Source organism: Homo sapiens, chromosome 1, assembly GCF_000001405.40.
Source record: "Homo sapiens chromosome 1, GRCh38.p14 Primary Assembly".
Classification (NCBI taxonomy): Eukaryota; Metazoa; Chordata; class Mammalia; order Primates; family Hominidae; genus Homo; species Homo sapiens.
Genome location: NC_000001.11, coordinates 210,613,695 through 210,627,796, shown reverse-complemented (window position 1 = coordinate 210,627,796; position 14,102 = coordinate 210,613,695). Strand labels below are relative to the sequence as shown.

At 44.4% G+C, this 14,102-nt stretch overlaps 1 protein-coding gene across 18 annotated transcripts in view; it reads right to left on the bottom strand.

Moving 5' to 3' along the window:
- The window catches only part of HHAT (hedgehog acyltransferase), a 348,963-nt gene that overhangs the window by 48,494 nt on the left and 286,367 nt on the right, over nucleotides 1-14,102 (bottom strand). For all 18 annotated transcript variants that reach the window (XM_047424804.1, NM_001122834.4, NM_001170564.3 and 15 more), the window contains one exon: nucleotides 4,127-4,271. In XM_047424804.1, coding sequence (XP_047280760.1) covers nucleotides 4,127-4,271 — 145 coding nt within the window. The remainder of the gene's footprint in view (nucleotides 1-4,126; nucleotides 4,272-14,102) is intronic.

Sequence of the window (14,102 nt, the reverse complement as noted above, 5' to 3'; positions counted from 1 at the left end):
ATATTCCTCAAGCAGCTTGAAGTAAACTTCAATATTAAAAATTTGGAGTTTTTTTTAAAGCAAAAACATAGATTCCTTATTTTCTGCTGAATAAACTGAACACTACTTCTTCAACCTCAGCAGCAGAGGTAACACTTCCTGACCAAAACTGTTTTGTGGATGACATATTACCAGAGCCCTAGGTTTGCCACTGAGCATTTCTATCCCTTGCCTTCAGACTCTGTCTTCCACTCTTTAGACAGCAGGGCAGGGGCACAACAGAAAGGGAAGGGTCTGGTTTTACAGCCTCATATCACCCATATGACCCACAGAGACCAGGACAGACATTTTCATGGAAATCACTAAAATAAACTTTGTAGTTTAGAGCAAGCAAATCTATGGCTAAATTCAAGTGAACTGGTGACAGGAAGATACCAATTTTAAGACAACTTTTCCAGGCGAATCATGAGATACTTCTAGGCACATCAGTGATGCCAGGAGAGGGCTCCCTGGGAAACAATGAGGTGTATCTTTTAAGACACATGTGTATCCACACCCCATTAGCTGTGAGGTGTGTGCAAATCTCCTCAATAATCCCTATCTCCTAGATACCCGTCTGCCCCTTCCTGCTCTTCCAGGACTCTGAGGTGAGACCTGTTAGAGGGATGTGGTGTCAGTGGTTCCTCCCTCTTGCTGCAGCAGGTCCCAACCCATCAAGGTGCAGAGGGAAGGGCCACCTTTCCCTTAAACCTGGAAATCTAGACACTGAGCTTAAATGCTCTCCATGCCTAAAGTCAGCGTTCTCACTCGCTTCACTCTATTTCCTCAGTGTGTAAAGATGGGCTCTGGAGCAACAGGAACTGATCATGTGTCCCAGGGAAGATGCCAAGACTACAAGGCTGTCAAAGGTGCACATTTGTCAACAACTCCATATACAGTTTGACAATCCCTTAACTAAACTTTTTGGGGTCAGATGAGTTTCGGAATTCAGATTTTTTTAACTTTAGAAAGCTCATATATGAACACCCCCAGCAGAGACTGAGGGAGCATCGTATAGACTCATTATTTTTTTTCACCAAAACATGAATATTCATATTAATCTTCTATCAAGTCAAATTAGTTATGAAATGAAATCCAGAGTTCTCCAGGATGGGAGATTGGGCACCATCTGGTTCACTTTCCTCCAAGAGATATCTAAACCCAATCCTTCAGGGACAAAAACCCACAGCAAGGAATAGACGAAGCGGCAACTGCCAAAACCCCAGCAGACATTCCCTGACTCAGGAGGCCCATGGGACAGACCAGCAGAGATGCAAACAGGCTCATTTGGATAATCACTGACATAGAAAAAGCCTTCTAAGCTGAGTTTCTCTGGCCTCAGAACCCAGAAGAGAGATGATTCCACAGAGCCCTCCACTTTTATAGAATCAGAGTTCCCAGGGCTGTGGCACCTGAGTCCAAGGAGGACACAAATAGTGCGTTCAGTCACAGACCATAGCTGGTCCCATGAGGCAGCAGCAGACCGGGTTTTCAGAGCCCAATCCCATGTGACTGAGGTTAACTCCATAGGATGTCAGGCAAGTCACACTTTGATCTTCCTGCCTTTCTCTCTGCCCCCTTCAATACCAGCATTCCCTGGGGTTTCTCCCACCTGTTCTCTTCTCATTCTACACAGCTCCGTGGTTAATTGTGTCTACTCCCCTGGCCTCACATACAATCTTTACGCCCTTGACCCCCACACATCTCAATCACTGGTCCCACCATCTTCTCCAACTCATATTTCCAACTGCCTCTTGGGCATTTCTGACCAGGCCCATGTGCCTCTCCTGCTGTGCCATAGACAGCTGGTGCACACTGATATCTGCATGCTTCCCTACACACCCCTGCCCTGTACTTGGGTTGGTCATATGACTGGCTCTGGCCAATGACATGTAAGCAGAAATGTCACATGTTTGAGCACCTGGTGCACCAGTCTCATGTTCTCTTCCCCTCCATGATGCCAGCACAAGACAGTGGAGAATCAAAACAAAGATTCTAGGTCCTGGAGTCACTGCTTAGAAAAAGCCACTGGATTTGTATTGAACTGTCAGAGAAACAAACTTCTATGGTGAGAAATTACTAAGATTTTGGAGTTTCACACAAAGCAGCCAGTGTTAATTTCCCTGATATGCCTGCCTTTTCTACCTAGCAAACTCCTAAATTATTACTTCAATTCAAATGCCACCTCTTCTGAAAAGCCCATCTTCTGTGGAAAGTCAGCTACTCTATCCTGTGACCTCCAGTAACTCACTCATACATCCAGCAGAGCAATTCCCTGAATCTACTGCACATTTTTGTGTGTTTGGCACTCACATTCGTGTGAGCTTCCTTTTTCATCTCTGTGTTCTCAGTGCCTCGCAAGTAGCAAACATCCAATGCATTTGATTTAGGGAAGCGAAAATCAGAGCCTCCTCATTATGTGACAAGCAAACCAAGTCCGCACTTTCCCCCCACCAAGTCACAATGTTCTTATCATTGTGCTAGGTTCTGTGAGAGGAGCCAAGAAAAGTAAAGGATGCTGTAACCCACCTTTATCTTTAGATCCATAATGCCCTATTATCTCTCATCTTTATTAAAGGACAGCTTTCGCTTAGAAAGTACGTGGTCTTTTCAGGAACTATCAGCTAAAACATCGCACAGAAAACAAGATCAAAGAGGGGTCTTTTAGTGACAAGATTAAAGTAGAACAGGACTCTCTCTTGGCCCTTTGAGCCTGGCTCACCCAAGGCTGCCACAGTTTAGGCCCATGGTCTGCCATTCTGGAATACTGCAGCTGTGTTGCTGTTATTTCTGGTGTGAAAAGAGCTGCAGCAAAAGCACCGCTGCCTCCTCAGGGACCCAGATGTGGAGATAATGGGCCAGCTGTGCAGAGTTATGTCATCACCACTTGGCAAAGCTTCCCAAAGCAAAAGCACAAGACTGTGTCACTGGGCAGGGAACAGAGCAGGGATCTTCTCTTTTAAGATGTAGCAAGTTGGCTATAGTAGTATGTACCATGAGTAGTTCCAAATCTCCCAATTCTCTTATAGATATGATGTAACTCAGTCCCAGCCCAAGGGAAATGGTGACCATAAATAAACAACGATCAATTATTAATAGAATGTTTTGACAACTCCCACATAGTAGCAGTTTACCTGCTGCAAGTATGGTTTTGCTTTGGATATTCAGATTATCTATTTAATGCACATTAAACATAAGGTTGGCCCCTAGTATTCACACAAAAATACCCACAACCAAGAGCTGTGGCAAACACAGATGCCATGCCCACAGCTTCAGGAGAGCACAAGGAAGCTTCTAGGGCAAATTCCTAGTAGGACGTTCAGAGCAATAAACAAAACAAGGTTAGATTTTGCAGTATATTGCAGGCTAGGACCCACAGACAGTAGGTGTCTTTGTTGTCTGTTGATTATAACAGAATATCTAAAACTGTATAATTTATAAAGAAATGGAATTTATTTCTTACAGTTACGGAAGCTGAGAAGTCCAAGGTCAAGGGGCTGCATCTGGTGAAGACCTTCTTGCTGGTGGGAACTCTCTGTAGAGTCCCCAGGTAGCACAGGGCATCACGTGATGAGGAGGCTGAGCATCCTATCTCAGGTCTTTCTTCCTCTTCTTGTAAAGTCACCAGTCCCACTTCCATAATAACCCATTAATCCATGAATGGGTTAATCCATTCATGCGGGCAGACCCCTCATGATCCAATCACCTCTTAAAGGCCTCATCTCTTAATAATGCCAATTGGGGATTAAGTTTCAACATGAGTTTTGAAGGGAATATTCAACCACAGCAGTAGGAAAGATTAAGAAATATCAAATAATTGGAAACATAGTGTAATGGAAGGGAATATACACTTTGGGAGAGTTGGAATAATACCTTTTGGTGTTAAACAAGTATCACATACAGGAGATATGGGGTACCTCAAAAACAGGGGACACTTAAAGTCATAGTCAAACTTAGGAAATTATTCCTGGCTGGTACTTTAGAGGTCACATGCCATGAACATAACAATGAATGACTTCCCCCAAATCCCATCCATCCCATGTATGATCCCATCCGCATACATGGAAAACAAGAAACTGACTGAAAACAGCACTGTCAAGCAACTTACCTTGTATGAAGATCCTATTCCAGTAGGTTTTCCCAACCTCATTGCCCCCAAGAAATACCAGGTTGGACAGGATCAGCATCGAGGTGGAACAAGAAGCAAGGGCAGCGTGGAATCGACGGCGAGCTTGTGGGGAGAAGTATCGGGCCTACGGGAAAAATGGCAAGAAAGCATCTCATGACAAGGGTGGAAAAAATGGGGCTAAGATACCATCCAGCTTTCTCTGTCACCAGCCCAGGACGCCTCCCCACAGAGCCCAAACCAGGTCATTATTTAAACAGCTCTCAAAACTTCAATTCCTGTCTGGGCGTGGCAGCTCATGCCTATAATCTCACACTTTGGGAGGCCAAGGTGGGAGGATCACTTGGGCCCAGGAGTTCAAGACCAGCCTAGGCAACATAGTGATATACCATCTCTACAAAAACAATTTAAAAATTAGCTGGGCATGGTGGCATATGACTGTAGTCCCAGCTACTCGGGAGGCTAAGGTGGGAGGATTGCTTCAGCCCGGGAGTTCGAGGCTGCAGTGAGCCATGATCACACCACAGGACTCCAAGTCTGGGTGACAGAACAAGAGCGTGTCTCGAAACAAAACAAAAGTGTACTCTTGCACCATGTTCATTCTACCCTAAGGAAAGAAGTGACATACCCCAAGTTGTTTCTTTGAGGTGGAACAAAATGCGAGGGCTTCCCTCTGACATGTGGAATACAAGCACTGAAGCCAGTTAGGATTTAGCAGCCCTCCCACCTCCACTTGCTTTCTGCATGTAAACCTACAGGTGCAAGAACTTCAAACTGCTGTCTGTGATAACTAGTATATATAGCTCCATGGAATTAGGTCAAGATCAGCATGATCCCCTGGGCCAGTTACACTGACCCTGGGAAGCCATCCAACCACCCCCTAAACCTGACATGCTATTAAGAGCAATCTCATAATAAGAGTGTAGGACAATGAGTGTGAGCCGAGCCTACTGCTGGAGTCAGAGCTCAGGCCCACACTTCACCCGCAGCACACGTCGGCACTGAGGATGAAGTGTATCGGCGTGCCTGAAATACTCAAGGCTGGAGGGGTGTTTTACAGCATCACAATAAAGAATTCCACTTGTCCTTCCTAGCTCTTTATTGCACTTCTCCTTTTAAGATTTTCCCAGGGATTTCATAAAGCAAACAAAGCCTTTATCCTGACTGTTCTGGGAGCCCCTCTGAGTGAGGTCGCTGTGCTGGAGTGTGCGAGCCCTATCAGCACATGCACGGGGACCACCCCAAGGGACCGTGTGTTCAGAATGAGAACCAGGTACAGCACAGCAGCGGGACATGCAGGGGCCCAGGGTATCTGATAAGCACCTCCGCCTAATCCACAGACACAGAGAAAGAGGGAGCAAAGGGTCTGGAGATATTTCCTGAATATCCTCCAGAAACCCACACATCTCTAGGGTCACGTGCACCCTAATTTCAGCTGCGTTCCAATTACAAACAGAACTCGGAATGACTCAATGACAGCAGCCGATGCAATTCATGACAGGCAAAAAGGACTAAATTGGAGGGCGAGTCTTCAGCAAGAGGCTTACTTATTATGCGGCCCTACTGTGAATCTCCTGTGACTGCTTTGGCATCATGGTCAGTGTCCTCTCCATCTAGAGAAATGAATTTCTGACTCCTCCTGTTCTCTCCTGCCAGCCCCAGGGTCTGTTCTTAACTCTCAGATCTGGCTGCTACCCTCTGTCACCCCATCTCCCCACCCACGGCTCTCTGCTCCAACATCACTGTGGAACGTGCTTTTACTGCTGCCAGACGCAAGTGTGGCCTGCTCACAGAGAAGCTGTGCAGTGGACAGTGAGATGTCTGCCCGATCATGGTTGTTCTGGAATGCTCTCCAGTGATGTAGGGTGTCTCTACTTAGAGGCCACCAGGCAAGATTACCTCTAGTCTTGCCCCTGCTCTAGGAGGCCACAGGCACGTACAAGAGGACACTGTCAGACAAGACCTGGTACGAGATAACTACATGGTGTGAAAACTGTTAATGAGAGAGAAATGGGGAAGGAGCAGGCTTATTATTCAGCACTCTTCACCTCTGAGAATAATGGGACATTAATCTACCACTTTCTGCATTCTAAAGCAGAGGAAGATATTTTCTGGGTATTACTGACTCAACTAGCAGTAACTAGGGAGGCAGGGTGAGAGGAAGTTGGGAGACAGAGGAAGATCCAAAATGGATTAAGAAAATATGAATTGTCTTAATTGACATAAATACGTCCAAGTAATTCTCTCCAGATACTGCGGTTACTAACAAGACATTTGATTCCTAAGGGATCCACTGAGTCTGACACTCCACCACTTCTGTTCTAACCCCATCAGTCTCCCCCAGCCTCACATCCTGAGAAGGGAACACAAAGGCCCTGTGTGATTTTTCCTTTGTTAACGTCAACTACCGAGAGTGCACATAGCTTGTTAAGCTAAGTGGCTCTTCTTTTGTAGGAAGTGATTACAAGTATTAAATAATCAACAGAGGTACTGAGAGAGGAAGACTCTCTTTGCCTGGGGCTGCTAAGCAGGACTGTGGAGCTGATACTTGGGGCAGGGTAAGGACTGGACACAGCAGGAGGAGGAGCTGAGGGCCAAGGGAGGTAAGAACAGACAGCGTGTATTGGAGGCATAGGACTCCTCTGTCCAGCCCTGAGGCCCCAGCTCCTACCGTGCTTCCTTTGATTCTGTGACTACCCCCATATTCTAAGCTACATGGTTCCATAAATTCCTATATCTACTTAGGAAAAAAAAAAAAAGTCAAAATCATACCAACTGTGAAGGAGCTGCTGATCTCAGAGATAGGAAGGAGAGGGGGGGCAACTAAAATCTGAAATGAATGACTACAATTCAATTTTATAAATGTTTTTTAAAAATTTAGAAATTAAAAAAAAATTTAAATAAGCAAGAATGTTAAAGCACAGCCTGTTAGAATCAAACTAAAAGGATTTAAAGGAGAAATCAAGATGCCCATAGGCAATTCTTGATTATCCCCCAGGGTGAGTGGGTAGGAGACAAAATAGACGATGATCAAGGAATCCAAAAACCTAATTTTAACCAACAGCCTCATCCTCTGACAAAACTAGCCATGCCAATAAGCAGCAAAATGAACAGAGCATTGTTCATTTTCACAGTGAAACAGTGGGGAAAAAGAATGATGGGCTACAGGAAAGGAAAAGGGGGTGGGATCTGTCAGGTTCATCCACAAGAGGGTAATAACTAACAGCAAAGGGGACAGGAGTCTCAGCTGCAATCCATCTCTCCTCTTTGCATTCTCTGGACATTTTGGAAGGTGATGGTTTTGACATCAGGGATCTCTCTCTCCACCTTGGGAACCTCCTGGCTCAGCTACTGGTTTATAGGAGCTCTCGGGGTAAGTTCCCAGGAGGAAACAGGTCATATGGACAAAATTAGAGGGTATATTCCCTTTGACCAGCCAGCTACATCAATAAATCTAACTTTCGGAATCTCTAGGGCCACAGGGCCAAAGCCTCCACTTTAAAGGCTTTTTCTCTTACACTCTCCTTTCCATAGTCCTACAGCGATTACCCCTGTGGTCCTTCATCACCGGGATGCAAGCCTCACGAGTGGGAGGCATGCCTCATGTGTTAAGTCACCATCCTCATGGCTTAGATACTTGAAAACTCCCTTGACAAGAGAATTCATGTTGAAGAATTATAAACGAAATGGGGGAATACCAGAAGACAGTGAAAAGCCATCAGGTATGACAAAGAGAGTTGCCAAGTTCATCAGCTAAGGCAATAATGGACAAATAGAATTTGATTTTCATTAATAGGAATTTATCAGGATAAAAGAGAGCTCTGGTCTGGTCCCGGTCTCTTCTCAGAGTGTTGATTAGTCTGTAGCAATCTGATTTCCTGGCAGCAAAAAATGAGAGTGGCACTATCCCCCAGGAGATGTTTGAAAAGTTGCTGGGCATGTTTGGTTGTCTCAATGACTACAAGGCAATGTGGCATTTGGTGGGCAGGGGCCAGGGATAATAAGCGCACGGCAATGTGCAGGACGGAGCCGTCCTGCCCAAAAGGTCAGCAGAGCCCTGTTGAGAAAGGGCGAATTGTTCTCCCCTACATTCATCACAGAGCAGGGTTCTTGCTTGGTCTATGGGGGCATTAGGAGTAATGCCAAAAATGCACCCCCTTTCCTCTGAGACCCAGAGAAATGCATCCCAGGGCAGGGAATGTTCCTTCACAGTATTCAACCACCAGGCCCCTCCTATCCTGCCCACCATGTGTCATCACATGGAGAGTGAGGAGGAGCCTCCTGTGCCCCCGGCCACAGACAGGCAAGGTGTAGCCGCCAATTCCAAGCTTCCTCCCCTGACACTCCTGAAATCCAGAAGAAAGAGGAAGAATGGGAGGTGGGGCTCATTAGAATCACTTTGTTCTCAGGCAGGGGTGACCAGTTGTCCACATGGTCTCTACGGTACATGACAGGGGGTGGGTCGGGGCAGTTTCTCTCCCTGTGAATGTGAATATACCCACTCTTCAGGTGCAAGGGCAGGTGCTAGACTTTTGGCCTGGTTACAGCAAGCCCCTCAGAACACTGGCCTAGGGCAGACCTCCAATTCCTCTGAGTAGTTTGCCTGTGATCCAAGAGACTAAGATGAGATGGAGGAATGTCACGACAACACTCAGCTATGGCAACACTTGGCTTTAAACTTCCGTCTAAGACACTGACTTCCAAAGGGAAGGACTGCAACCCAAACCAACTAAACCTTAGGGCTAAACTAAACTTACGTCAAACTCGTTTGTACTTCCAGGTGTGAGGTGTCCATGGCTTCCTGTGTATATTCAAATCTCCATGGCAACTCATCCCTCTTTTCCAGGCAGCATCCTTTCCCTGGAAATCACAGGATTGGTGGGAGCAAACAAGCCGGGGATGGGGGGCTGCAGGAACGTGGGTCAAAACAAAACTAGAAACATACATGGGGAAGGGAGGCAGATGACACAGTCGGGCTGGAGGCTGTGGGCTTGCCAGCCCCTCACTCATCCACAGAGGGGCTGCATGTGGGGCTGAGACGGGAGGTGGGGACAGGCTGAGCATCTGGAGGAGCAGATGGCCGGAGGAATGGCTGCTGGAGACTGTGACAAAGGCTTGGCAAGTGGGACCTGATGCTGCTTATTTTTAAGTGGTGGAGAAGCTAAAAACAGAAACTGGGTGGGTTTGAGCAGCTGGACACAGTTCTTCCATATAATCACTGAAGTTTTCCATTTTCTAATAAAAATGCTAACCAGAGGGTAAGAGAGGATGAAAAAGGCAATGGCAAGGGAGGGGTTGGTGGACACCAGAGAGAGCAAATGAGGGGTGAACACCCCACAGACTGTAAAGATGAGGCCAGGGACAACAAGAGACACAATTATAACTCTCAAGAAAGAGAAGAACGGCCACAGTGACACACTGAAAGTCAGGAGGACTCAGATTCCAAAGTCATTCCAAGGCCCATGTCCCATCTCTGTGCCAACCTGTAGGACATGTTTCCCCTTCTCAAAATATTCAGTCATTTTCAGCTAGAAGTCTGTGTTTCACCAGTTTCCCCTCTTTCATGTTCCTACCAGCATAGTAGGTTCCTCAAGGATAGGGCAGGACCGTTTCTCAACTACACAGCATCCAAGAACCACGCATATCCTATGTGTGCTCAATGATTAGCTATCACCCATCTCGCTCTTTGCCCTAAATAAGTTACAGAATCTCCTGAGTTCCTTAATGTTCTATCCCACCTTATATCCAAGCTGAATGAATACATGAAGAGCCTTTGAAAGCAATACCTCCTCCTTCCTTCAAGTGTACAGAGCTTCAAACAACATCAGGTCAATGCAGTTATATTTTCCGAACTCTGTGTGCATACTCCTGAGAGAGAATCAAATACCTGCAGCAATGAAGGCAAAGCCAGATTTGTTTAATTGGACAAGTTACCTTCCTCATAGTTTAGATGTCCAGCTTAGTTTAAAAACTGCAGAGGCCAAAGTTTAGCATTTAAATCCATGCAGTACATGCAAGAATTTCAGAGTACTTTCAAATAACTAAGGAAACAACTGGCTCTGTCTAGTTAGAGAACTTAAGCCATGTTTGGGGTGCCTGGGTTCCTGCTAAAAGTTCCAGATTGAGCAATAGTACCGCCTCACCCTGAGTTCTTACTTTTCCACTGCCATGGCTCCACCTCCAGTCTGCATATCTCTGCTTCAAGTTTTCCAGAAGCCTCAATTTCAACTGACTGGTCATACTCTAGCCTTCCTCTCTCTACTTCATCAAGCACATTATGTGCCTCTACTCTGCAAAATGCTTTGATATTTCTTCACTGCTTAGAGACTGAAATCCAAAATAGGAAGGCATTTTAAACTGGATCCCATTTTATTTCCTAATCTTAACTCTCACCACTTTTTATCAATGACATGGCTGTCTTCAGTGTTCCCCAAACATAACATGGGCTTCCATATTTCTGTGACTTAGCAAAAGCTGTTCTCTCTACTTTGAATGCATCTTCCTTATTCTTCAAGCCCCAGCTTAATGTCAGCTCAGGAGAGCAACAGCTTTGGACCAGCCCAACTTAGGTTTAGGTTCTATATTTCCATCTTCTACCTGTGTTGCCCAGCACATGCTGAGGCTCTTCATTTACCTAATTCACAATTGGCATTTGATAAATGTAGATCATCCCAATCCTAGCAAAGTCAGTCACCCAATTTCTGTGTTTCTATAACCCATGGGCTAGACAATATCAATCTATGTTTTAGATAAATACAGCTTGTGATGCAAAAAATTCACTGTGTGAGCAGCTTTACTTATACTGTAAAGTAGGTAAAAACTATTCATATTTTACAAATGAAGAACTAGAAGAGCAGAGAGATTAAGTAACTTACCTGAATTATATACCGATAAGTGCAGTGCAAGAATTCACATACGTTTCTCTAATTGAATATCTTCATGCTCCTACTACATTACACAACTTCATATTTGTGTGGCAGTGCGGATTCCCTTCTCTCAACTGCAACCTTCAAGATCTTTGCCTCTTGAGTGCCATACACAAAGTGGATTTTCAAGAAATGTTTGTTCAACAAATATGTCGTGCATGTATCCCACTAACAATGGTTGGCAGATACCAACTGTCGATTTCAAATGCCATATGTCTTCAAGAACATATGGCTTACAGTGACACTGGAATTTTTAAAAGTAACTGGGATCCACAAGTATAGTAGGAGATTTAGCAAATCTCCCCAGAAAATGACATCTAACAGAGCAAAATAAAAAATATAAAATATCTGCATAAAAATTAATAGGCCCTGGGGGAAAAGGGGGTGTTGGAGAGATGTTGGCTGGTCAAAGGATTCAAAATTTCAATTAGATAGGAGGAATAAGTTGAAGTAATCTATTGTACAACACAGTGACTATATAGTTAATAACAATATGTCATATTCTTGAAAATCACTAAGAGAGTAGATTTTAAGTGTTGTCACCACAGAAAATAAGTGAGGTAGTGCATGTTAATTTGCTTAATTAAGCCATTCCACAGGTATACACATTTCAAAATATGTTTTGCCCAATACATCTTTGTGTGTCATTTAAAAATTTTTAAAGTGGGGGGCAGTTCCAAGATGGCCGAATAGGAACAGCTCCAGTCTACAGCTCCCAGCGTGAGTATAGCAGAAGATGGGTGATTTCTGCATTTCCAACTGAGCTTTGAAGAGAGTAGTGGTTCTCCCAGCACGCAGCTTGAGATCTGAGAACAGACAGACTGCCTCCTCAAGTGGGTCCCTGACCCCCGAGTAGCCTAACTGGGAGGCACCCCCCAGTAGGGGCAGACTGACACCTCACACGGCCAGGTACCCCTCTGAGACGAAACCTCCAGAGGAACGATCAGGCAGCAACATTTGCTGTTCAGCAATATTCGCTGCTCTGCAGCCTCCACTGCTGATACCTAGGCAAACAGGGTCTGGAGTGGACCTCCAGCAAACTCCAACAGACCTGCAGCTGAGGGTCCTGACTGTTAGAAGGAAAACTAACAAACAGAAAGGACATCCACACCAAAACCCCATCTGTACGTCACCAACGTCAAAGACCAAAGGTAAATAAAACCACAAAGATGGGGAAAAAACAGAACAAAAAACTGAAAATTCTAAAAATCAGAGTGCCTCTCCTCCTTCAAAGGAATGCAGCTCCTCACCAGCAATGGAACAAAGCTGGACGGAGAATGAATTTGATGAGTTGAGAGAAGAAGGCTTCAGACGATCAAACTTCTCCGAGCTAAAGGAGGAAGTTCGAACCCATCGCAAAGAAGTTAAAAACATTGAAAAAAGATTAGACGAATGGCTAACTAGAATAACCAATGCAGAGAAGTCCTTAAATTTACAAGAACTCAAACAAATTTACAAGAAAAAAACAACCCCATCAAAAAGTGGGTGAAGGATATGAACAGACACTTCTCAAAAGGAGACATTTAATGCAGCCAAAAGACACAGGAAAAAATGCTCATCGTCACTGGCCATCAGAGAAATGCAAATGAAAACCACAATGAGATATCATCTCACACCAGTTAGAATGGCGATCATTAAAAAGTCAGGAAACAATAGGTGCTGGACAGGATGTGGAGAAATAGGAACACTATTACACTGTTGGTGGGACTCTAAACTAGTTCAACCATTGTGGAAGACAGTGTGGTGATTCCTCAGGGATCTAGAACTGGAAATACCATTTGACCCAGCCATCCCATTACTAGGCATATACCCAAAGGAATATAAATCATGCTGCTATAAAGACACATGCACACGTATGTTTATTGCGGCACTACTCACAATAGCAAAGACTTGGAACCAACCCAAATGTCCAACAATGATAGGCTGGATTAAGAAAATGTGGCACATATACACCATGGAATACTATGCAGCCATAAAAAATGATGAGTTCATGTCCTTTGTAGGGACATGGATGAAGCTGGAAACCATCATTCTCAGCAAACTATCACAAGGACAAAAAACCAAACACCGCATGTTCTCACTCATAGGTGGGAATTGAACAATGAGAACACTTGGACACAGGAAAGGGAACATCACACACTAGGGCCTGTTGTGAGGTGGGGGGAGGGGAGAGGGATAGCATTAGGAGATATACCTAATGTAAATGATGAGTTAATGGGTGCAGCACACCAACATGGCACATGTATACATATGTAACAAACCTGCACATTGTGCACATGTATCCTAGAATGTAAAGTATAATAAATATATATTTAAAAAATTTTTTAAAGGAAAACAATAGAACGAGCATCCAAATGAGAAAGAAAGAAGTAAAATGATTTCTGTTCACAGATTACATGTACAAAACCCTAAAAATTCTACCAAAAATTTAAACAAATTCAGCAAAGTTGCAGGATACAAAAATCAATGTGCAAAAAAACAGTTGTGTATCTCTATGTACTAACAATGAGCAACCTGAAAAGGAAATTAAGAAAGCAATTCTATTTATAATGGCATCAAAAAGAATAAAATACTTAGGAATAAACTTAACTAGGGAGGCAAAAAATTTGTATAATGAAACTACAAAACAATGCTGAAAGAAGACATAAATACAAAGATATCCCACGTTCATAGATGGGAGGAATTTTTTTTTTTTTTTTTTTTTTTTTGAGGCAGGGTCTCACTCTGTCTCCAGGCTGGAGTGCAGTAGCACAATCATGACTCACTGCAGCTTAGACTTCCTGGGCTCAAGCAATCCTCCCACCTCAGCCTCCTAAGAAGCTGGGACCACAGGTGTGGCTAATTGCAATTGGCTAATTGTTTGCTTTTTTTTGTAGAGTCAAAGTCTCACTATGCTGCCCAGGCAGGTCTCAAACTCCTGGGCTCAAGTGATCCTCCCACCTCAGCCTCACAAAGTGCTGGAATTATAGGCATGAGCCACTGCACCCAGTTGGGAAGAATATTGTTAAAATAACAATACTACCCAAAGTGAT